The sequence below is a fragment of the Homo sapiens genome, chromosome 11 (genome assembly GCF_000001405.40).
Source record: "Homo sapiens chromosome 11, GRCh38.p14 Primary Assembly".
Taxonomy (NCBI): Eukaryota; Metazoa; Chordata; class Mammalia; order Primates; family Hominidae; genus Homo; species Homo sapiens.
Genome location: NC_000011.10, coordinates 74,969,898 through 74,995,652, shown reverse-complemented (window position 1 = coordinate 74,995,652; position 25,755 = coordinate 74,969,898). Strand labels below are relative to the sequence as shown.

The 25,755-nt window shown below is 42.0% G+C and overlaps 2 protein-coding genes across 15 annotated transcripts in view, besides 3 other annotated features; both read right to left on the bottom strand.

The window, feature by feature from the left end:
* Positions 1-15,138, bottom strand: part of NEU3 (neuraminidase 3) — a 40,162-nt gene extending 25,024 nt beyond the window's left edge. For 3 of the 14 annotated variants that reach the window (XM_047426303.1, NM_001367860.1, NM_001367865.1), the window contains exons 1-3: positions 6,928-7,009; positions 6,499-6,635; positions 933-1,144 (exon numbers count right to left, since the gene is read on the bottom strand). In XM_047426303.1, the coding sequence (XP_047282259.1) occupies positions 933-1,144; positions 6,499-6,592 (306 nt within the window). In that variant the 5' untranslated portion in view covers positions 6,593-6,635; positions 6,928-7,009. Of the gene's footprint in view, positions 1-614; positions 1,145-5,494; positions 5,691-6,498; positions 6,721-6,927; positions 7,010-11,189 lie in introns of those variants that run through there. The other 11 variants (XM_047426302.1, NM_001367866.1, NM_006656.6 and 8 more) reach the window with 9 other exon arrangements.
* Positions 2,652-2,771: an enhancer, noted in NCBI's record as "active region_5261". NCBI's record gives its function as "activates an Ori minimal core promoter by ATAC-STARR-seq in GM12878 lymphoblastoid cells {active_cell/tissue: GM12878}" and the evidence as "EXISTENCE:reporter gene assay evidence [ECO:0000049][PMID:35858748]".
* Positions 6,451-6,640: an enhancer, noted in NCBI's record as "active region_5260". NCBI's record gives its function as "activates an Ori minimal core promoter by ATAC-STARR-seq in GM12878 lymphoblastoid cells {active_cell/tissue: GM12878}" and the evidence as "EXISTENCE:reporter gene assay evidence [ECO:0000049][PMID:35858748]".
* Positions 6,921-6,970: an enhancer, noted in NCBI's record as "active region_5259". NCBI's record gives its function as "activates an Ori minimal core promoter by ATAC-STARR-seq in GM12878 lymphoblastoid cells {active_cell/tissue: GM12878}" and the evidence as "EXISTENCE:reporter gene assay evidence [ECO:0000049][PMID:35858748]".
* Positions 15,139-16,619: 1,481 nt separating the features above from the next.
* The window catches only part of SPCS2 (signal peptidase complex subunit 2), a 29,768-nt gene continuing 20,632 nt past the window's right edge, over positions 16,620-25,755 (bottom strand). Inside the window, exon 5 of the mRNA NM_014752.3 lies at positions 16,620-18,796. Coding sequence (NP_055567.2) covers positions 18,610-18,796 — 187 coding nt within the window. The 3' untranslated portion in view covers positions 16,620-18,609. The remainder of the gene's footprint in view (positions 18,797-25,755) is intronic.

Sequence of the window (25,755 nt, the reverse complement as noted above, 5' to 3'; positions counted from 1 at the left end):
TACTTTTTGTTAGACATAATGCTACTACACACTTAACAGACTACAGTATAGTGTAAACATAACTTTTATATGCACTGGGAAACCAAAAAATTTATGTGTCTTGTTTTATTGTGATAGTCACTTTAGTGTGGTGGTCTGGAACCAAATCCACAATATCTCCGACGTATGCCTATTTGGGATCTGAAATAACCCTGTAGCTTCCAGGCCAAAGAGCAGTAACCCTTCTTTCCTCACTAAAAATACAGTCAAAATGTTCTACTGAAGAGGAAGGGCTCTAACTCCAGTTCTCCCACTTATTAGACGCGTGACCAAAGCAAATGACCTTAATTCTCAGGCCTGGTTGCCTCCTGCAAAATGGGGATAATAAAATATACCTCACATACAGCATTTAGTAGTAGAAGCGTGGTTATTACTGGTATCCCCCTGTCACCTGCTAAATGTGGTCCTGAGCAAGTTACTTACCTCTTGGAGCACTAGGATCTCTCATCAGCAAAACTGGACTACCAATGCTTACTTCCCTGGGTGATTTATGAGGATTAAATGGAATATAAATGAAAGGCACATCATACGTTAGCTGAATCTAAATAACTGTGGAGGTCTCTGGAGTCAGCGACTGAGTTTGAAACCAGCTTCTACTGCTTTATTATAGCTGTATAACCTTGAGCAAATGGCAACCTCTCTGAGTCTCAGTTTCCTTGTCTGTAAAATATGACTGAAAACAGTACCTACGACACAGAATGGCTGTGAGGACCCAATGTGCCCCTGGCACACAATAAGCACTCAGTGAGAGCCATTGTTTTTGCTGTTTTTTCTGCCTCTGCTCCCCACACAGGGCTTTCCTGTACTGATGAGAAAAGGCACAGATCCTGAAGAGCTCTGAGCTTTGTGAAGAGAAACTGAGGCCCAGACTCAGATCTGGGATGAAGAGTCACCTGTACCAACTGCCCAATCCTCAACCCTCGCCTCAGCACCAGGTGGAGAGCATCCTCATCTCTCCTCGTAGAACGCTTCTCTGCAAAGGCCAGGAAGGTGTGGGTGGGGGGTATGTAGAGCAGGGCTGGGATCCGGTAGGTAATCCCTCTGTCATCTTCCTGCCGGAACAGAGGGCTGTTGAAGGAGCATGTTGTCACTTCTTCCATGACCTCTGCAAGGATAGAAGGAAGCTTAATGTGTGTCCATACCCAGATGCTGGCCTGCATATAAATTCTGCTTCATCATTTCACTTCTGGAGAGCAAAGGTGGGGGGGCACAGATATATTCAAATGTTTCTTTATACAAGAATAACATATGCTCTCAATAGCACAAAGCAAGCAATATACATTCTTGTTTAACAAATGAGAATTTCATTAACTCCAGACCCTGTGGGAATTCTATGTGGCCTGTATCAAGTATGTATCTTGGAGCAGAGCGGTTTTGCATTTGTTTTTGCCAAGCATCCAGGGGTATTACCAGCCTGAGGTGGTTTTTATTATCAACTTCTTGGCTTGGAGTTTCTAGGCCATTTGGGTATCTGTATGAGTGAATGCCTATGGTTAAGAATTTTCTGGGAAAACTTTTTTTCTGTACGAAAGCCTAGGATAAAAGGCAATCTCTTTGTCTTCTATCTGTGTCAGTAGGGAGAATTTTTTTTTTTCCTAGTAGATCTGGTTTGATATTTGTCCCCTCTAAAACTCATGTTGAAACTTAATCCCTGATATGGCAGTGTTGAGAGGTGGGGCCTCTAAGAGATGATAGGGTTATAAGGGCTCTGTCCTCATGAATGGATGAATGGATGAATGGGTTATCATGGGAGTGCATTAGGGGCTTTATAAGAGGAAAACTAGAGATCTGAGCTAGCATAATCAGCCCCCTTGCCATGTGATGCCCTATGCCACCTCCAGACTCTGCAGAGTCCCCACCAGCAAGAAAGCCCTCACCAGATGTGGCCTCTGGACCTTGGATTTCTCGGACTCCATAACTGCAAGAAATTTCTTTTCTTTATAAGTTACCCAGTTTCACGTATTCTGTTATAAGCAACAGAAAGTGAATTAAGATACTAGTCCACCCTATCAGAAGGTATACACCCTACACAGGGTGCAGATTTTCAAGGGACCTAGCTTCATGTGAGTATTTCACATGCCATCCTCTGTCAAAAACTAGAGTCTAACCAGGCCGGGCGTGGTGGCTCACACCTGTAATCCCAGCACTTTGGGAGGCCAAGGTGGGCGGATCACGAGGTCAGGAGATCGAGACCATCCTGGCTAACATGGTGAAACCCCATCTCTACTAAAAATACAAAAAAATTAGCCGGGTGTGCTGGCAGGCACCTGTGGTCCCAGCTACTCAGGAGGCTGAGGCAGGAGAATGGTGTGAACCCAGGAGGCAGAGCTTGCAGTGAGCTGAGATTGCCCCACTGCACTCCAGCCTGGGAGACGGAGCAAGACTCCATCTCAAAAACAAAAACAAAAAAACACCAACAACGACAACAAAAAACCCACTAGAGTCTAACCCATGCGGACCTATAGCTTCATTTGGTATAACAACAGGCCTATTAAAGTCCAAGTTTCTAGGTGAGACATCCAGTGCAGCTGAGGGCAGATTAAGGAGCTAACCACTCTGGTTTTCAGTTCACTCTTGGTTTCTAGGTCCCTGGAGATTTCTCTTACTTTCTTGCAAATTCAGCTATAAAGGGCTTTGTTATTTTTTTTCTTTTGAGACGGAGTTTTGCTCTTGTTGCCCAGGCTTGAGTGCAATGGTGTGAGCTCGGCTCACTGCAACCTCCACCTCCTGGGTTCAAGCAACTCCCCTGCTTCAGCCTCCCAAGTAGCTGGGATTGCAAGCGCCCGCCAGCACGCCCAGCTAATTTTTTGTATTTTTAGCAGAGACGGGTTTCACCATGTTGGCCAGGCTGGTCTCCAACTCCTGACCTCAGGTGATCCACCCACCTTGGCCTCCCAAAGTGCTGGTATTACAGGCATGAGCCACCGTGCCCGGCCGGCTTTGTTATATTTTACCCACCATTTTACAGGTTGGCTACCCTGCCATAATGCTCACAATGGAGTCTCCAAGTATTCTTCTTAAAGAAAACCAGGTGTTCCACTTCTCAGAGGTCCAAAAGGGGAATCAAGCCAGACAGACAAAAAGCAGCCTTAGAATTACTTTTTCCTCAAACCAACTGTCATCCAAACCCAATTTTACAAATCATTTGTAAATATTATCAGGCTGTAAGAACAATTGATTCAATAAATATTTCTAGGTTCCTCCTCTGTGTCAGGCCCTAAAATAGATGCTGAGAAGACAGAGAAGGATCAGAGGTTCCTGCTCTCAAGAAACCCAATCCAAGTGAGGGAAACAGACATATACATGGACAATTATAACATGATGTAATAAGTGCTACTTTAGAGGTAAACACAACAGCAAGTAGAAAAACACAAAAGTGGCATCTATCCAGATCAAGGCACCAGAGAAGGATTTTTGGAGAGAATGATTGAGCCAAAAGAACTCCTGCCTCATATAGTCACAGGCTCTGCCTGGAACACTCGTTTCAGATAGCCACATAACGCTCCCTCACCTTCTTCAGCTCTGCTCAAACATCATCCAATCAGGAAGGTTTCTCTGTCAACTCCTTTGCCCCAGCCTATCTTCTTTCCTTGTTCTATTCTCCACACCACTTATCACACTTTGATGCCTCCTATGTTACATTTGTTTAATACATACCACAAAATGGAAGCTCCAGAAACAGCAAGGGTATGTCTGTTTTCTTATTGCTCCGCCTTGACACCTAGAACTATGCCTATTAAGTAATAGGCACTCAACAAATTTTTGTTGAATGATTGAATGAATCAGTGAGCCAGATCTTAAAGAATGAACAGTGGATTAGCCAACTGAGGGTTAAAAGGAGAAGCGCAGAGGACAAGGATGTGAAAAGCCTATAGGCAACAGAAAACAGTGAGTTTTGGGGCCTCTCAGTAGTTTAGTGTGACTACAGTAAGGTGGAGTGCAAGGGATGGGGGCAGAGGTGGGACTGAAGGGGTCAGCACAGTCCAGATCCTGGGAGGCTTAGATAACTTATTAAGGTGTTTATTCCACAGATGGGAGACCACTCAAGAATTTTTGACAGAGGAATGGCATGATGATTTTAGACCAATCTTCCAGGAAGCTTTCAGGACAGTGAACCATACGGCAAAGTTGCACTGCTTTTGGCTACAGCCTCCTAGTGTCAACCAAGACAAACTTTTATCAATAGCATATGAATATTTAGTCACTTGTTCCTAACTTGAAGAAGGGAAAAGAACTATTGCTCAGTATCATGAGGGGAACTGGGAGAGTGGCCTTGCTGAGTCCAGAAGAAAAGCCTCCCTTCATTTCAATCCCAGGCTCTCAACAGCAGAATCAAAAGATAAGCAAGGGGAGACCATCTTCTCACTCAATACTAGAGCATACTTCTCTCCCCTCAATTCAGGCTCTCCTCCCCGGGAGGGTCAGGCTTTGTTCTAAGCAAACAATCTGTCTCTGAGCCAGGCTGGTGTAATGGTTAAGAACATAGGATTTGGACCAGGCCAGGACTATGTGACCTTGGGCATGTTATTCAACTTCTCTATGCTTCAGGATCCTCCCCTATACAATTCAGCAGAGTAGGTGATAGAAATAAAATGCTTAACTACAGTGGCTATTACAAGGCCTATGACATAGTATGAGTGCAATATATGACAGTTATTATTTTTAAACTACCAATTACTGTATATTCTAGTTTTATTCCTTGAATCCTGTGGATAACAATGACAATAATAACAATTACAACTCCCTTTCTTAAAAACATTTAAATCCCCCTTTATTGCTGAAAGAGAACATACTTTAAACTCTTAACACCTTAATTACAAGTTAAACCAACACTACTATCATCAGTCAACATGTGACTATTAGTTAAATCTAAACAGGAATTCTCCAGGTGATAAGAAGAATGGAGCACAGGATAGGCATGGAGCGGGTTAGGGCTCAGAACAGGAAAGGAAGAGGCTGGGTGCGGTGGCTCATGCCTATATTCCCACCACTCTGGGAGGCTGAGGTGGGCAGATCACTTGAGGTCAGGAGTTCGAGACCACCCTGGCCAACATGGTGACACCCCATCTCTACTAAAAATACAAAAAAAATTGGCCAGGCATGGTGGCATCCACCTGTAATCCCAGCTATTCGGGAGGCTGAGGCAGGAGAATCACTTGAAACCAGGAGACGGAGGTTGCAGTGAGCCGAGACTGCACCACTGCACTCCAGCTTGGGTGACACAGCAAGACTCCATCTCAAAAAAAAAAGGAAATGGAGAGGAAATAGGGAAATAATCACCAAAGGAGAAGCACAACTTGTCACATGGGCTGGATTCAAGTCTCAGCTCCATTTCTTGCTGCATGACGTTTTGATGGTTACTCAACCTCTAGGTCTTGGATTCCTTGCTTGTAAACTATGGATAATAATACCTACCTAAGCAGATCAATATGAAGAACCACTCAAAAGTGTTTTATAAATTTTAAACTGCTGTTTTAATAGGTGTCTTTAATTATAAATTTTGATGTCCTCACAATTTCATTTATGCTTTATTATCACTATAACAATTAGAGCCATTAATTTTTGTAATTATGCTGATCGTGTTGATGACAGAAGTAATATAGATGGTGATTCTGGCATTGCCACCCAAAACGTTTCACACAAATCAGGTGCTGGAAACGGGATAGAAAATAATCAGATATGGGCCTGCTCTGGGGTTCATTTAAGCAGAGAATTCAAATGATTACTTGCTGCTCGATATAATCACTTTCCCATCAAGTCCTTCCCGCTTTCTTACTGGGAGAGAGTATAGCCTAGCATGGACTCTGAAGTCTGACTTATCTTTGACACTTACTAGCAAGTCACTTTACTTCTGAGCTTCAGTTTCCTCACTTATAAAATGGAGATAATACCGCCTACTTCTCAGACTATAATAATGTAATTCCACAGCCTCCAACTAACCCAATGAGCCTCCAGTGAATCCCAGGAGGCCTTCCTATCTCATTTATTCACTCCTAACAAGTAATATTTAAGGAGCACCTACCACGTGCCAGACCTTTGAAGATCTGTAGTCTAAACCCTCTCATGGTATAGATGGGAAAACTCGGGCCCGGGATGGGGACAAAGCTTACTGAACGCCACTCCACAGTAAAATCTGGACCAAGACCCAGGTCTCCTAAGTTGAAACTGAAGCTCAGGGCTCTTTCTGCCGCCCAGAGACCTTTGGTAAGCAGGGCTTTTCCAGTCTCAGTTCCCTTTCATCTCTGGAGTGATAATTCTGAGGTTTAAGTTCGGCTTCTGTGAGAACGAATAAAAATAGGACTAGCCAAGAATTCTCTGGCCAGGTCAGATCCTAGCCGACTAGGTGGCTCTGTCTCAATAATCCAAGGCTGGATTTCCCAAACGCAGATGGTCTTGCTCAACCTGTCCCCACAGTTGAGTCCTCCTCGGGGAGCTCTCCTGTCTCCCAACCCCGCTCACCTGCACTGGACCCCGGCTCCTCCGTCTCTGTCGGGGCAGAGCTGGACGCCGGGGATTCTTCCATGGGGCGCGGGGGCAGGTCCGCAGGTCTCATTCGCCGAAGCCCGGAAGAGGCACCGGCCCCAAGGCTGGGGAGACTGAGACAGAGGAGGATAGAGAGGGAGAAACAACTGAGACGGAGGACACGGAGACAAGCCCCGAGAAGCGAAGAGCGTGTCGACTGCCGGAAACAGGTAACGGCAACGAAAAGAGGCGGGCGCAGGCTGTAGTCAGTGGCGGTTGGGGCCAACCGTTGGCCTACTCCGCGAGCCCTCCCCGTCCCGCCCCCTCGGCGCTGCCCCTCCCTCCAGCCCGCAGCTCGGTCCCCACCACGGCGTGGGACCGGCACCACCTCCACCCTCGCCAACTCAGCTCAAGCCCTGGGCCCACCTCAGTTCCCAACGGCCGCCTCCTCTCTTCAGTGCCACAGCCCCGAGCTCTTATATTGGTCTGTAGCTCGGTATCACCGCCTAAAGCTTCCCTGGACAGCCTGAGAGTTGAGCAAAGGTTCCCGGCCTCAGAGGGTACCCTACAAAAAGGACCAGAGGTCCAGAGCATTGGCTACTCTCCTTGCAAAATATGAAAATGAAAATATATTCATATATATAATTTATGTGTGTGTATATACACACATTTACATACATAGATTTGTCACATAGCACTGAGTCCATTCTTCTGTTTCACAGTACCGGAATTTAAGCCCCCCTCTCCCCAGCCAAAGAGGAAAGGACTGATCTAAGGTCATTTTTTATCTGGGACTAAGTACAACGTAAAGGTAATAGGCTGGGCCTGGTGGCTTATGCCTACAATCTCAGCGCTTTGGAAGGCCTACGTGGGAGGATGCCTTGAGCCCAGGAGTTGGAGGCTGTGGTGAGCTGTGATTGCACCACTGCACTCCAGCCTGGGTGACAGAGCGAGACCCTGTCTCTAAAATATAACAATTTTAAAAAGAAGAAATTTTACAAACGCCAATAAAAGGAAAGACAGACTGCTAACTTAGAGGACATAAAAATGTAAAGCTTCTGTAAATTTGAATTCGTGATATTTTTCTCATTAAAAAAAATCCTGTGCTGAGGCAGGGAACATACAAGATGAGCCTGGAACATCGTGGTGCCACAAGGAAAGAACTCACAAAATGATGAGGGTTCTTTGAAAGAACATAGGTGCCAACCTCAATACAACCTGCTGTATTTTTCTAAAAAAAAAAAAAAAAAAAAGAAAAAAAAAAAGGCCTAGAACCAGAGACCAACTCATCGTAATAAGCCCAAATAATGGGTCTTTTTTATTTTTATTTTTATTTTTTGAGATGGAGTGTGTCTCTGCCGCCCAGGCTGGAGTGCAGTGGCGTCATCTTGGCTCACTGCAAGCTCCGCCTCCCGGGTTCACGCCATTCTCCTGCCTCAGCCTCCCGAGTAGCTGGGACTACAGGCGCCCACCACCACGCCCGGCTAATTTTTTGTATTTTTTATAGAGACGGGGTTTCACCATGTTAGCCAGGATGATCTCGATCTCCTGACCTCGTGATCCGCCCGCCTCGGCCTACCAAAGTGCTGGGATTACAGGCGTGAGCCACCGCGCCTGGCAATAATGGGTCTTAAAATACTATTTTGTCCCCAAAGGAACCAGGGTTCCATGAAAAAAATGGCTGATTTTAGGTGCAGGGAAGAAAATTTATAAGATTAGCCTAGAACATCTTAACAGAAAGCAAGAAAGCCATAAAAGACTATTTCAGGTCATGTCAAAAGAAGGTAAGAATCAATTTGAAGGTGATTCCACTGGCCAAATATGGAAAAATTAGAACATCAAAAAGAACAAGGACTGCAAAGAAAGTTCATATCGACATATGGAGAAAAATGTCACTTTGGTCACCTCAGAGTTTGCTAAGGAAAGCAGCTTTTTATTCTGCCTTTCCTGTACAAACCCTATTTCTGGGTAACTAAATAGTTGATGGGGAAAAGTTCTCCTTCATAAAATAATTAACTGACCAATGCCAAATGAATGATAGAATTTCATCATTTTGTCCTTTAATGACAAAATGAATTTAATGAATCTAGACAGCAATTATCAATAGCTACTAAAAGCTACACCCTTATTGCTCACCTTTTCTTCCCTTCCTACTTTCCCACCTCATTATGGCACTCCCTGCATCTCTCACATATACTATTGCCCTCAGGTCCTGGTCTCAGAACTTGCCTCTGGGAGAACTCAAATAAAGACCCTATACCAGGAGATAAGAACAACAAAACAGTAATGAGTTAAGGATCTAACTTAAGAATGTAGAAAAGGAAGAACAGAATAAATCCCAAAAAGGTAGAAAAGGAAATGATGAAAATAAGAACAGAATAAATGAAACAAGAAGCAAAGTACAATAGAGGGGACTGACAAAAGCAAATATTAGTCTTGACATATCTAATAAACCGGACAAACCCTCTGGCAAGACTCATTTTTAAAAGTTATAAATGATATTAATGAAAAGGAGACTATATGCAGGGATACAACAGAGATGAGAAATAAATATTAAACAAACTTTATTCCTTAAGTTTGAAAATCTAGATAAAGTTAATACAGTTTTAGAAAAAGTTACCAAACTAAGATATGGAAAATGTGAAGTCTTACAACTATTTAAAAATCTAAATCAGTATTTTAAAATCTATTCACAAAGATAACACAACTATCCCAATTATTCCAATCTTGTATTTCCTTCATTAATAGAAGGAATGTAAATTGGTACAGTCGCTTTAGAGGAAAATTTAGCAATACCTAGAAAAGTAAAAATGTATATCCTCTCCCACCAAGGAATCCCACTACCTGTATTAGATGTGTCCATACAAGAATGCTCATAGCAGCAAATGTTTAATAGTGAAAAATTATAAAAGACCTAAATGTCCATTAATAGGGTAAATAAACTGTCATGTTTAACAGTATACAGCAGTGAAATAGAATAAATTGTAGCTACAGGTATCAATCTAAATTATCTTCACAAACAAAATATTGAACAAAAAAGCAAGTTGCACAATACAGAGAGAATGGTACTTGTGCAGATTTACCATAGCAGGCCTAACAGGTTATCCTTAGGAAGGCCTGCTTGCAAGGTTGGTGTTTTTTGACAGGTGTCTGGAAACTTGGCTCTCAAAGTGTTCCCAGTCACCAGTTAACTGAAAAGGGTAGTTGACTATGTAGACTGTTTGATTGCAGTATGATTTATGGTGGATACCTGCTTGCTTTCTAGGAGTCTTTATTATGTGCTAGGCAGATGGTGCCCACATGACCAAACCTCAATAAACTGTGGGTACTCTCTAATGGGCTCCCTGGACAGAAACATTACACACGTGTTGCTGCATTTTTGTTGTTGGGGCAAAGTGGGCTCTTTGCAATCCCTCATGGGAGGAAGAGCATAAGGAAGCCTGCAAATGGATTCCTCCAGACTCTGCCAGTGTCCTTTTCCCTTATGATCCAGATGTGTCCTTATTTTATCGAAGAATAAATCTTAGTCATATATGCTGAGTCGCGTGGGTCCTTCTAGCAAATACCTGAACACAGGGGTTGTTTGGGAGACTCTCAATCAAAAACCACATATAAAGTTTAAAAACAGGTAAAACAATAACCATATATATTGTATAAGAGCTCCCAAGGAGGTAAAAATAAAATTAAAAAATAACCATATATGTCTCTATATATCTGTATATATCCATATATATAATGGACACATATGTATGAAGAAAATGCTTACGAATAATAAACACCACATTCCAGGTAGTAGTAACTTCTGAAAGTGCAGGAAGTAAGATATGATTAAGGATACCCTGAGGACTTCAACTGTATTGGTAATATATATATTTTTAATGGCAGTAGGTTCACAAATATTCATCTTATTATTCTTTAAGCCTTATTTGTCTGAAATATTTCCTTTATAAAAACCGGGTCATGTCCTGGGGTTCTTTATCAGACTTCTCCAAGTTCACAATCACCAACTCTGTGGATCTCAAATTTTATAGACCCAAAGCTAATACCAAATCTTTCTCAATTCTTTGAGGTAAACTCAGATGGTCTCATCTTATGCCTGAGAAAGTGAAGTTAAAGAGCAATTTCTATATTTAGAGGTAGAGAATCCTGGCTCCAATCCTCTCTTCCCACTTCCTAGCTGAGTGATCTCGGCAACTTATTTAACTTCTGTGCCTCAGGTTCCTCATCTGTAAAATGGCCCAACTCCTCACTCATGGTTCAGTTTTCACTTCCTGTATGAGGACCTCCCAGACCTCCATACTAGAACAAATACTCCTTTTCAAGCCCCCATAGCACTTTGCACCTCCTTCTACTGTGTTCAGATTGTCTAAGTGTCTGACACTCTCAGCAGACTGTGAGCAACTAAAGCGAGGGGATCAGGCCTGGCACCCGTATTAGCAGAGCAGAATTATATAAAAGTTTGAAGGAAGAGGGATGCAGAAGGGTATTAAGTAATGCGATCAAGTAAGATGGCACAGGAATATCGGGGGAACTTCCTGTTACAGAAGTTAGGGAGCTTCCAAGATATGGGACAGGCAGAAGTAGGAGTGGGGCTGTCAAGAATTGTGAAGGGTCTGAGATTTTTATCTTACCTGCAAGCTAACAAGATAGCCTGTTACTACCTGTAAAAAGGATAGTTTGTTACTTACAGCAATAGCAGTAGCCAGAGTACCAGCATTTGTTCCAGTTCTGAGCCCCAATTCCCATATGATGACGCAGAGAGCCAGATGATACCTGCACATGTAATGAAGTGCCTTAAAGGAGAGGAACTTTGAGGTTAGGGAACCTGAATCTTCAATAATGGGCAGTGAGCATGTGCGCCCTTTGCTCTGATACCTTCTAAGGTTGTTTACTATACAAACATTCCTGGACAAATAGTCTGGAACAAAGATAGTCAGTGCCTCTCTTTGCAAAATATGCAGAAATGCTAGAGACCCATGAAGAATTGTCTCCCAACGATATGCACCTTTCATTTCTATGCCATCTTGGCTTTTGATGAATTCTCCCATAAGTATGCCACTCCACCTGTCACTCTAATTAAACTGACAGAAACTGGAACCAGGTCCATTCAAAGTATTTTATTACATTTAATTAAAGGTACTATCAACAGAACTCTATGTAACAGGATAAGACCAATCAGTACTGACTTCAGCCATATCCAAGGGCCTGTATCCAACAAGGTAGGAAAAAAAAACCAACAATCATAAACCATCAGGATCTACCTTAGAAAGCCAAGTGGCATTCTCAAGTTTCTGTATTGACCCTGTACTCGGTCTGAGACATTAATCCAGTCACAGTGGGATGTATTAGTGATTGCACTGACTCCAATTTGGCCCACAAAGAGGAAGAGCAATTCTATCACCCATAACCACCCTGGCCAATGAATTGAGGCTGACTTAAGTGCCATCCAGAGCTGAGGTGGTGTCACTGATGACTGCAGCTAAAGTCAAGAACAAATTCCTTATCAACATTTCCAATAGGATGACTCTCAGGATAGTGATAACTGCCTGCAGTATGCATAAATGAATCAGTTACGCTTTCAGGAAGCTCCTCTGGCCGCTGTTGTTTCCTCAAGAGCTCAGTAGCAGCCTAAGAGGTGCCTATCTTTTTAAAGGTCACTCTTGGAGTACTCAGGATATTTCACCTTGGTGACTGCAAAGTCCACATAGCTGGTTATAATGGAAAATGGCCTGAGTACTACAGGAGTAACTAAGTTTTCAACTAAACCTGTGCTTTTATTTCTTTTCCTCTTGCGGTTGTATGTTGTTTCTTTTAGACTACATCTCTCTATACTGCAGTAGTCCCTGAATGGGAGACTTATAAACTTTCCTAGTTCAATTAAATGTATATTGGTATTAACAACACACTTTGATGCTAAAGCCATAAAACAGCAGTACATTAAATGTTTAGAGGCTCCATCCACAGGTCATTTTAATTTTCCTTTCCCATGCAATTATCCCCTAAACCAGCCCGTGAAAGGCCTTTGTCCTTTCTCTTCTAGAAAACCATGTTGGTCAGGATCCAATTTTCATTACCACAACTTTCACATCTGTGAATTTTATCCTACTTGTAAGCTAACAGACCCTACCAGTTGAATTCAGGTACTTTTTCTCCCCTATGGGCACCCAAACCAAGCAGTTTAAGATAGGTATGTTGGAGATCACAGCCAAGAAATGATGTTATTTCCACAGCCAGAAGTGTGAGAGGTGGTGGAAGGAGGAGGTGGAAGAGGCTAGCCTGCAGGAGACAGTTGTTACTAGGAAGTAATCCCACTTTGACTCCTTGCCCCAGAACAGTGTTGCCTCTTCCTTCAAATACCTGTTGGCTCTGACAAGCACCCCCAGGGCTCAGGGCTCCTTTTTTTTCGCTGCTCTCCTGCATGCTATTGTAGATCTGCCCCATGGTATTTGGCATTTTTGACCACCTCTATGTGCAGATTTCCCTGTCCCCATGGGGCCAAGGAGGATAGTGATTTGGATGCCTATATTGAACGGAGCTGTAAAAGGGGCATTCCTCCCTTCCCCAAAGATGGGGAGCTTTTTTTCCTTAAAGCTGTAGAGAGAGAGGGATCAGAAGTTCTAGAGTAGGTTGATAAAACTGTCGAAGGTGACCCACTGGAGACACTGTTGGGAGAGGCAATCTGCCAGGAACGCTGAGTGTTCCTGCATGTATTTTCTTCCTTCATATGAATTTAAGGCCGTGACCATTCTTCTTGGGCTGTACCTCAGTGTTCTGTTGGCAGTAAGCTACCTTGAAATGAGCAGGTTTACCTATTGCTCACTGTAAGTTTTAAGCACTCCACCCCCACTACCAAACTTGGGGTCTGCATGTGTAGGCATTCATCTAGGACTACCTTGTGGCACTTTTGGGGGTGTAGGCCATAAGGAGAACGGCTTTGTGTCAGTCAGCAAGGCCATGTATTTACTTTCAATTCAAGTGGCTACCTACTTGGACTCAACAAACAGCTAATGTTTTTAGTTCAAAGTTCTATATCCTTATCACTGCCATCATTTATTTCATCTTTGGGAAATCATTCATCAGCCATGGCCATACTGCCTTTCAGCTGGAGCCATGAGCTTGCTGCCTCATTGTCAAAACATCTTTTCTGCCTCCTGCCTAGAGACTGAGCAACAACCTAAGTACAATCTGGGCAGCATGTTTCAATCCTACCTCTTGCTCCTTAGCCTCAAAATATTCTCAGGTAGGACTCTTTCTTCAGGTAGGACTTTTCTCAGGACTCTTTCCTCCTCCCTCACTTGGGAATATCTGACTTGCTACCAGATCCCAGCAAATTTCTTTTATCCCCTAATCCAGCCCATGAAAGGCCTTTGTCCTTTCTCTTCTAGAAAACCATGTTGGTCAGGATCCAATTTTCATTACTAAAATTTTCACATCTGTGAATTTTATCCTACTTGTAAGCTAACAAGTTAGCCTGCGATGCTTTCATGGATGTTGCCAGAAGACATGAGATTCCTGGGTCAGAGACAAATAACTTTATTACTTATGGTATAGCCAGCAACATGAGCATGATGTTTGCACCAGCTGCCCATGGCCTACACCCCCAAGTGCCACAGGGTAGGCCTAGATGGATGACTACATATGCAGACCCCCAGCTTGTGAGGGGAGGGGTGCTCAAAACTTTTACAGTGAGCAACAGGCAAATTTGCTCATTTCAAGGTAGCTTACTGCTAACAGAACACTGAGGTACAGCCCAAGAAGAATGGTCAGTCTTACATTCACATGAGGCAAGAATATACATGCAGGAACATTCAGGGCTCATGGCAGATTGCCTCTCCCAAGTTTCTCTTTCTCCAGTGGGTCACCTTTGACAGTATTAACCAACTCTGTGGCACTAAGAGCCTGACAACTACTCAATCCTCATCAATTGCTTCCCAGAACAGTTTGTCACAGAGAAATCCCTCTGAAAGGGCTAATGATCTTTTATGGCAGCCAAGAAAAATCTGAGACTTTTCCTGTTGTGTCTGCATGGGTCTAAGCCTGGCATGACAGACTGTAGGAGGGGGTTGGCTGTAAGACAGCCCAACAGTTGCCATTCTTCCTTAACAAGCATTATGTACCCTGAATCCCTCTATGCCCAAGTCGATAAACCAAAGTTCTAACAATTCACCTGGTTTCTGCCCACAGGAATAAGGAATTTCCCTTCTTTCAAGCTCATGTAAGTACGTGTCTCTGTGACTGTTGTCTGAAAGGAGGAAGAACCTGCTGCCTATAGAGGAAGAATGTTAGTAGCAGCAGTTAAAATGGGGCAGATCTGAGGCTGAAAGCCAGATTAGTGAGGAAGTACTTCTTTCTAGAGGAGAGTAAGCAACAACCAGGACATAGTTTCAGCAACTGTCTTTGAATCTGTTCCAGTAACTCTGGAACCACCTCCCCAGTTCCTTATTAACAGACAATGATATGTGTATGTATTTAAAACATTATTCTGAGAAGGGGACCATAGGGTGGGTTGGGTTGTTAGGAATACTCTATTTAATAACAAAAAAGGCTGTCAGTGGGGACAGGATATATTCTAAAAGTCTAAATTAACGTGCTATTAACAGTTTTCTCTGATGACTTCCACCATGGAGAAAAGGTTTGGGGTGTGGGTGGGGCTAGCCAGGAGTGGATAAGGTAGAGTTAGTGAGAGATCGGGCTCCAAGCTGAGGAGGAACTTGGGTCCAGAGAAAAACACAACTTGTGTGTATGCAAAGGGACTTTGCATCTTCTTCCATTCCCCGAAATTGTTCTGAAGCAAAGATTGTTTCTACACGTATATAAAAGCATGACAAACATTAAATACATATTAGCAGTTGAAATTTGCAAATAATGAAAAAACATTAGGATCTTTTTCCACTGTCCTCAGTGGCCCTCTATTTTCTAGAAAAAAGTCCGTCTGAGGTAAGTGTGAGGAACTGAGAACTTCACTCATGATGATGTGATGGGTGTCAGGGTTTCCTGGTGGCAAGGGTGTTGCAGACCTACTAGAGGGTACAGAGCAGCCCAGCAGCCTTCTGGACTGGGCTGAAATGGCCACTCAGTAGATGCATGTGTCAGAAGCTGGCCAGAGGCACTCTGCAGCTCTACAAAGTGTGCCCATGCTGAGGCTTGAGCCTGCAGAGGGTACTTTTTGTTCATGTGATGAGACACTCCTAAAATGCCACAAGTGCAAAGACAGGGGACCAACTGCAACATGTAGCTGGGCTGATAACCCACTTCTTCAACAAATCTAAACTGCTTCAACTGGTTTCTGGAGTCAGGGAAAAACCTTAAAATAGATCCATGTAGTCCAAGAAGTCTCCAGTGAGCCTTATAGGCAGATATTGGGGATATGGCACCCAACATTCTTTGTAATCATAAGGGATGTTTTTTATTTCCCAGGGAATAAGGAGTCTTCATAATCTCAAAATACATTCTCTAAAACTTTTTTTTTTTAACAAGAGACTTCACCCTAGAAAAGGAATAGGATGTATTCAAGGTCACAAATTAGAAAAAAGTTGCTAACAACCCAGGTTTCTTGTCTCTCATTTGAGGACCTATTTTCTTCCCCTCTCCTCAATCCATACTCCTTCCTGGAATAGTGAAAAAAACTGGGGAAAAATTATCATCAATAGGGTATTAAAGTAAAATCACTTATACTATGGAATATTATGTAGCTATTAAAAATGAGACTGACCTATGTGTATATATATATAGGGGTTATCACCCCAGCTACTTGTTGCAATTGGTCCCCTGCCTTTGCACTTCTGGTATTTTAGAACAGTTTCTTTTATATATATGTATGTCAGACTCTTTTTTTTTTCTTTTTTGAGACGGAGTTTTGCTCTTGTTGCCCAGGCTGGAGTGCAGGGTGTGATCTCGGCTCACTGCAACCTCCGCCTCCCAGTTCAAGCCATTCTCCTGCCTCAGCCTCCCAAGTAGCTGGGATTACAGGCATCTGCCACCATGCCCAGCCAATTTTTTGTATTTTTAGTAGAGATGTGGTTTCACCATGTTGGCCAAGGTGGTCTCGAACTCCTGACCTCAGGTGATTTACCTGTCTTGGTCTCCCAAAGTGCTAGGATTAAAGGCGTGAGCCACCATGCCTGGCCTCAGACTCATTTTTAATAGCTGCATTATACACACACACAGGGAAAATGCCTAAGATATATTAAGTTTAAAACACAAATTACAGGACATATATCAACATAATTCAATTTTTGTTAAAAAAAATGTATGTGGAGACACATGTTTGCATGCACATGTAAAGAAAAAGGCACAGTGGGGGAACTCTAAGGGATCATCATGGAGAGGGTTATTCAGTCTCTATCTGCAAGCCTCGAGACCCTTGTGTCTAACAGTACAGTTGGCCCTCTATATCTACAGATTTAACCAACCATGGATTAAAAATATATTTTAAAAAATAACAAAAAATATAAATTAAAAAACCAATGCAGTATAACTATTTACATAGCATTTACATTATATTAGGTATTATAGGTAATCCAGAGGTGATTAAAAGTATATGGGAGGATGTGTGTAGGTTATATGCAAATGCTATACCATTTTATATAAGGGACTTGAGCATCCTTGGATTTTGGTATGCTTGGGGATCCTGGAACCAATCTCCCACAAATACCAAGATGACTGTAACTCCTCCATTGTAAAAATACACTTATCCGGTTACATGCTTTCAAAAACTTTAAGAAGCTCACAGAGAATTCCGAAACTTACCCAAGGTTTACAGGAATGAAGAGTACAGAATCCAAGGCTTTAACTTTCTGTCCAGTGTTGTTCACAATTCCCTACCATGTGGTGCGAGATAGGACAACCTCTCCAAGACAAACAGGAAATGTGATAATGGTAATTTCTTACAAACTGAATATAGTGTTGGGTACTAGGCTCAGCCAAAATTGATGTTTTGTAAGGCTGTAGGGAAATATTCCTAAAGGTCAAAGGATCTTGGCAAGCACCCAGGTCTTCTCTGACCATACTGGGAAAATACTGGAAAAGCGGCTGTTTTGTCTCTGCAGGACCACAAACTCTGAAGCCGGACTCCCCAGGTTTGAATCCCAGTTCTATCACTAGCTGTGTGACAATTATTTAACTTTTGTATCTCAGTTTCCTCATGTGTAAAATGGGGATAATAACAGCACCTGCCTCTTAGGATTGCTGTGAGCATTATTAACACATGTAAAGTACTTGGAGCATTTCTGGCACAAAGTAAGTACAGAATGTTGTTATTATTGTTATTATCACTGGAAAGCTAAGAGTTCCTTAGCTACAGGTTCTCAGGGGCCTTTGACAAGTAAAATAGCCTAAAAATGAAAAAAACCTATAGTAGAAAGATGTTAACACTTGTTTCTCTGTTCTCTCCATCAAAACTATGACTCCATTTTTTTCACATCTTCCTTCCTTTTATTGAAAAAAATTTTAGAAAATGGCAGTTAATAAAAGGCACAAACAAATCAACAGGGATATACTAGTGGAAAACACAATATAAAACTAAAATGCCATTGGCTTCTTTAATTGGTTAAAAGCAAAAATGTAACAGGCAGAAAGTCTGTTTCAAACAAATTAAAAAGCTATGTGTTTTTTAAATTCTTCCCAAATCAGATATATACACACCCACAAAAATAGTGTGTGAAGGAAAGCTGTCATACACAAGAAGTTGTATCCTGAATTCTTCAAGGAAACACATATTGAAATAGGAATTAAGAGTCAGCAACAGATTAATAATTTTTTAAAATTGAGTCTTAAAATGCTACATGGCCCAAAGCTATACTATATAAAGTACTGCTAGGTACAAAAGAAAAAGTCTGTACAGCTTTTAGCAAAACTGCTTTCCCAGAAAAGCAAATTAAAATAATGCAATCAGCAGATCAAGGAGACTACAGCTAGACATCAGAGCTACAACTTCTCATATCTGTGTCAGAAAATCCTATTTACCCAGAATAGACTAAAATTTCAGGACAAAACAGGGACTTTTTAACATTTCTTACTTTACCCATTTTAAGTTCTTTTTATCTCCCCCACCCCCCAAGCCACTAATTCAGCAAGATCCAGGAGAAAGAGGGCTACTTTTAGAATTGGCTACTTTATTTTTCTTTCTATGGCAAGACTGTCATGGAGCCTGGATATTTCAGGCTCATATGCATCCATGACCAGTGTCCCACTGTGGTCAAAAAACTTAGCAATGGACTTTGTGAACTCGGCTTCCCGCTGCTGCTTTGTTCTCCCACTGATGAAGGTCAGCTTCAAGGTGTATTTGTCATCAAACCTAAGCATGGGGGCAAAGATAACAAATTAAAAACCAAACACAGAGATTCAACCAGTAACAATACGGCACCAAGTGTTTCCGAAGAAAAGGAGTAAGCTGGGCACGGTGATACAGGGAACAAACACATCCTTTAAAAGCAAAAGCAAAAACAAAACCCCAGGGCTCCTAACTTTTCAAGATACTAGTTCTGATTCTTAGGTGTTGACATATCTTTCCTACTTTAATTACTGTGTACCTCCTTTACCTTGTTGTAGACTTTTAAACCACGTGGACCATCTTCTCTCATCTCTGGACTTCGTATTTGCCATGCTAGACAGGTTTTCCTCGCAGACTCTTCTCCCCTATCTCACCTGAGAAGTTCTTATTTGTTAACACTATACTTGGGCATAAACTTTTCTGGGAAAGCCTACCAATCTGGGTCAGATGTGTTTCCTCTGTCTTCCACAGTACCATCAATCAATACTCAACTCAAATACTGACCTCCTGTCATATGCCAGGCCTAATAATAGGCTCTTATGGTATCAACAAAATTACCTATCTGTTGACATGATGTGTACTACTTTCTTCACTAGACTGGGAGGTTTCTTTTCCCTTTGTTTCTGGTGCTTGAATCAGGATTGTCTAGGAGATTCTTGAGCAAAGATTGTTGTCTTAATTGCTTCATACTCTTAGCTGGGCTTCTAGTAGGCAATCAAATTTTTATAAATAAATGAAGAACCCTTGCTTTCAAGGATGCTCTCCAATCCCGGGGTGCCTAGTCCTTGCACTCTGTAATCAATCTAGCTCCAGGTTTTACTCTGATCCCAGGCCAGGGATGCCAACTGCTTTACTAAATGAACTCCAGAGATTCCTTTAGCTATACTTCAAGGTACCCTGAAGGCCATTACTATGTCCATTCATTCAAGAGGGTTTAATGACACCAATTACTGGTAGGCTGACATCCCCCACCCTGTTTCCATTTATTAGGACATATTCAGTGGATTGTCAAGCTAGTATTATCTTTAAATGAAGCAGTTTCTTGAGGCTCTATTTCTGCATGTTTAAAATGGGAGAACTTCCACCTGCTTTCAGGATTACTGTCATGACTAAAACAGTGTCTATCATTAACTAGTGCTCAAAAGGTCACAGCTCCTCAATAATTGTTGGTCTAGGCAGTAACTCCCAACTTGGAGAGCTAGTAGTGAAGTTCCTTTAACTATTTTCAACACCTCAAAATATTTTCTCAAGTTCTGACCAACTGCTAATTGATATCACAGTAATTTTTAGACTTCTGTGCCCAGTTTTATTGGCAGTTACATGGCTTTGGTGGCAGTCCATGATCTGATGAGTTGTGACCTGATACATTTTAGAAATGTTCATTAATTCAGATATTTACTGAGCCTACCTATATGTGACAGGCAGTTTTAGATGGTAAGGATATACGGCAGTGAACATAATATAAATGTCTGCCTTTTGGGACTTTCATTTTAGTGTGTGTGAGGGAACAGACAGTATAAAAAAAGAAGATGTTCTCTTAAATAGATGGGCAGAAAAGCCTTCACTAAGCAGATGTCTGAGCAGAGACAAGAAAGGTAAGAGAATAAGCTATCTGGAAAAAGAATGTTCCAGGAAAAAGGAACAGCAAGTGCAAAGGCCCTGAGGCAAGAACATCCCTGAAATGTCTTAAGAACAGAAAGGGGCCTAATGTGAACAGAATGAAGTGGGAGAGGATGAGAGCCAAGGAGATGAGGGTATGTTTGCATCGGTGTGTGGAGTGCAGAGAATAGACATGTATGGACTTCTAAGCCATCCTTAGGATTTTGGCAATTTCTCTGAGAGAGTTTTGAGCAAAAGACTGAGTTGATCTGACTTATGTTTCAAAAGGATCACTTTGCTTGCTGTCCTGGGAATAGACTATGGGTGGAGAGAGGGCTGCAGAAGTCCATTACAACATCATTACAGTGGGCCGGGTGCCGTGGCTCATACCTATAATCCCAGCACTTTGGGAGGCCAAGGCGGGCAGATCACGAGGTCAGGAGATCCAGACCATCCTGGCTAACATGGTGAAACCCCGTCTCTACTAAAAATACAAAAAATTAGCCAGACGTGGTGGCTGGTGCCTGTAGTCCCAGCTATTTGGGAGGCTGAGGCAGGAGAATGGTGTGAACCCAGGAGGCGGAGCTTGCAGCGAGCCGAGATCGCGCCACTGCACTCCAGCCTAGATGAAAGTGTGAGACTCTGTCTCAAAAAAACAAAACAAAAAAAGAACATCATTACAGTAACATATGTGAGAGAGGATGGTAGCTGTGGAGATGGTAAATGGTTGGACAATACATTTAGATGGTGGAGCTAACAGGATTTGCTGACAGACTAAAGAAGGACTGAGAAAGAGGAGTCAAAATGACTCCAGAGCTCTGTAAGGACAGCACTGCCATTTATTGAAGTGGGAAAAACTGAGGGAAGGGCAGGTTTGGATGAGTGAGAGATGAGTTAGGTTTTGGACCTGTTGACTTTGAGATGCCTATTAGGATCCAACATCAAAAAGAATGCCAGAATATATTTAGAGTTCAGAGAAGAGGTCAAGGATGAAAATACAAATTTAGAGATCTTCATCATAGAGAAGAGGTTCCAGAACAAGCCCTGGTGGCATTTCAAATGTAAAAAAATGGGAGATGAAGAATCACAAAGGAGACTGAGGAACAAACATTAAGGTAAGAAGAAAATTAGAAGTGTGTGGTATCTGAGAAGCCTAGTTAAAAAAAAAAAGTATTACAAAGTAAGGGTAATTAGCTATGTCAAATGCTGCTGACAGGTCAAGTAAAGGAGACAAGAGCAGATCCAGGTGATAGCACAAGAAGAAAAGGAGAGCAGAGAAATGAGGAGACTGTGTGAGAAGCAGAAGGGGAAAGAAAACCTTTTTTTTTTTCAGTTGGGAGAAATTACAGTATATTTGTATGTCAGAAGGAATGATCCAGCAGAGAGGAAAACATCAAGTAAGAGAGAAGAGATAGAATCCCATAGACCCAAGGGAGGGAAGGCCTTAGATAGGTACTTGGAAGTAGGTGAGTAGTGATGGTAGACTTATGATGGCTTCTATCTTCCCAACAACAAAAAACCGAGAGTAAAGATGGGGGAGGAGGCCTAGCAGGTTTGAGGACAGGGAAGATATGAAAGATCCTCCAGGACAGGGAGAGAGTAACTGGACTACAGAAGTGTCATGGAATCTAAGCCAGGTAAGGAGGAAGTGAAGTGGGTTACAGATGCCACTGGGGCAGAAGAAATGCCGTGACAAGAGAACTAGAAGGAAATAAATGAGAGTAACAGGAAGCAATGGTCAGGGTGGGATACTTAAAACTGAAATTATTGCAGGTAATTTGTTCTTATTAATTGCAAGGTCTACTAGGGTATGTCTATGAAAATAAATGTTTAAGGCATGATAGAAAACAGGATAATGGGAAGAAAGGAAGTAAAACTGAGAGGCCAAGTTACTAGAATAACCATCTATGTGAATATGGCAATCACCAAGACTTAAGAAAGGACAAATGTTAGAGAGAGTGCCAATGAGCCAGGAATTATCTTCAAAAGACTAGGTGTGTGTTTAACCGCAAAGAAGAGGCATAGAAGTGGCACAATGTGATGACATGCATTCAAAGGGGGGATTTTAGGGAAGAGGACGCATTGGAAGCTGCAAAGGAGAGACCCATCTCTACCTGTAGTACCGGAGTAATGAAGGCTGTGAGAGAAACATCAGCCACCACTTGCAGTCTGCAGTGGAAATATGTCCTCAGAGGTTATGGTCAGGTTTCACTTAGGGTAAGAAAGAGAAGGGATGTTCCCCTTCCTGTGTCCATGTGATCTCATTGTTCAATTCCCACCTATGAGTGAGAATATGCGATGTTTGGTTTTTTGTTCTTGCGGTAGTTTACTGAGAATGATATATCCCTTGGGGAAAATATTGCCTAAGTATGCAGGAAAAAAAAAAATATATATATATATATAAAACATTAATAAGAGAGATTAGATTGATTTATAGCTATGCTATAAATGAAATGAGATAGATTTTATATTGTCTTATAACCTTATATGGTAAATGTTCATATTACAAAGTTAAATAAAAGTTTCAGTGGATCCAATTTGTTGTTTAAAAAAAAAAAAAAGAGAAGGGAATGTTCATAGAGATGGCTAGGTTATAGGGGACTTTGTGGATGGCTGACAATGACTGGGCTGCAGGCAAAGACTAATTAGGAGGTCAAGGCTGCAGCCCAGCCCAGATGAATGTCAATCATTCACATAACAAAACATGCCACGCCAGGCCCTGGGCTGGGTCTGGTTACCAAGGGGTGAGTGAGAAAGTCCCACCTGGGCTTAGGTTTCTACTGTATAGTGAATGGTAAAGGAGCTCACACTTTGGAGGAGGGGGCGGGCCCAGGAGGAGACACAGATATTAAATAATTATAGCTCCATGTGGTAACTAACAGAGGTAAGCATAAATGCTTTTAAGAATAACTAGGATGGGCTGGGCGTGGTGGCTCACACCTGTAATCCCACCACTTTGGGAGGCCAAGGCTAGGCGATCACTTGAGGTCACGAGTTCAAGTCCAGCCTGGCCAACATGGTGAAACCCCATCTCTACAAAAAATACAAAAATTAGCCGGGTGTGGTCGTGGGTCCGTAATCCCAGCTACTCAGGAGGCTGAGGCAGGAGAATCACTTGAAGCCGGATGAGGAGGTTGCAGTGAGCCAAGATCGCGTCATTGCGCTCCAGCCTGGGTGACAAGAGTGAAACTCCATCTCAAAAAAAAAAAGAATAACTAGGACCACCTAATTTAGACTAAGGCATGTTAAGGAAGACTAAGGTATGTCAGGGAAGGCTTCTTGGAAGTAGGAGTGAGCCAGGTTACAGAAAGATAGCTAAGCCAGAGAGAAGAATATGTTTAAAGGTACGGGGTCACTGGAAACTTGGATAACTTAGCATATTGCAAATTCCATAATATTGCCAGAGTAAGAGAATGTATTTTGAGAGGGGCATAAAAGAAAGCTGGAGATGTCACTAGGGGATGAATGCTGTAATACTTCATATGCTGAAGGAGTTTAGACTGTATAATGAATTTGCTGGGGAGTGACAAAATCACTTTTTGCGAGAGAGTCACATAGCTTGTGTTGTCTGCACGTGGCAACTAGTAGTCTGTGAAACCTTTCATTGCCATTTTCACATCACATGACCTGGCAGTGGGAATAAGACATCAGAATCAGCCACTGTTAAGCTACTAAATCAGTCGGTGAGGTGGGGGAGGGAGAAGACATCAGCAGAAAGCCGGGAAGAGAGCAAGAACATTCACATTCCACTCCACCAACAATACGGCAGTTGGTAAAAATCAGCAGGAAACGTGAAAAAAATCAGAACCCTTGTACACTGCTAGTGAGATTGTAAAATAGGGCAGCCACTTTGGACAACAGTCTGGCAGTTCATCAAACAAAGAGAGTTAGCATACCATACAAGTCTTCTCCCAGGTGTATTACCCAAGAGAAATGAAAACATGTCTACCTAAAAACATGTACACAAATATGTATAGCAACATTATTCATAATAGCCAAAAAGTAGAAACAACCCAAATGTCTGTCAACAAATGGATAAACAAAATGGAATGTTACTTGACCATAGAAAGGAATGAAGTACTGATACATGCTACAACATGAACGAACCTTGTGTGCAGTATACATAGGAAGTAATTGCACTAAGTGAAAGAACCCAGTTATAAAAGACCACATATTGTATGATTCCATTCATATGAAATGTCCATAAAAGAGAACAGAGAAAGTAGACTGGTGGTTGCCCAGGGCTCAGGCAAGTGGGAGGATAGGGAAGTGATTAGCTAGAGTACAGAGGTTTTTTTTTTGAGGTGATGAAAATGCTCTAAAATTGACTGTGATAATGGTTGCAAATATCTGTAAATACTACTAGGTACTTTTGAACTGTACACTTTAAATGGGTGAACTGTATGTATGGTAGGTGAATTATATAAAAGTTCTTAAAAAATACAAAAGTCAGAATAAAAATAATGAAATTATAATGCCGCTAGGTTTTAGAATTCTGCAACTCAGCTTCAGTGGCCTGGTAGAGGATGCAGATTATGATGGCTGAGGCCAAAGGGCAGCTAGAAGCCCTGTCAGGAGATAAGCAAGAACTCAGCTGCAACAACAGAATGAAGGTCTGCTTCCCTTTCTCATAGGCGCTTCTACAAGTTGGCAATGAGACAGTCTGTATGGCACAGATGCTACACTTAACTTCATATATAAATAATTGTACCTATAATTTGTGCGGCTATTATGCACCAGTTAAGTATAATAGGTTTTTAAGATAGTGACTACGAGTATGAATTCTGGTTTCAAACTTGGGCTGGAATTCCTGCTCTACCACTTTTGGGCTATATGATACTGGAAGAGTTGATTTAAACTTTGGGCCTGTATTCTTATCTATAAAATGAGTGTTCTAAAACTTAATGAGATAATGCATTTAGCAGAATACCCAACATACAGTAAATGTTCAATAAACATTTGCTATTATTATAATTGGTATTTCATCTTCCCAGAAACTCTAGGCATCATTTTTGACCCCACTAAACCTCAGATAATTTATATGATTTACCCAAAGTTATACAGCTAGAAAGAAACTGAATTGGAACATGAACCTAGTTCTTGGTACCTACAAAACACATGTGTGTCAGCTGCACAAAGTTATACCTGACACTGGTCAGAAACAGACTCTAGATTGTGCTTTTTTTGAGTTGCCCAGTGCACTGCTCCAGATATTCTTGATTGTATTCGTGGAGAGAAGACAGGATCATAGAAGACACAGAAGCTAATGGAATTCTTCAAAGATAACTGATCTCACATCTTTGGCCTTTATACTTTTGTATGCTTAATCGTCTCTGTTAACTGGCCACAGGAAAAAGTACCTTCTCCCACAGTTTATCCTCAGA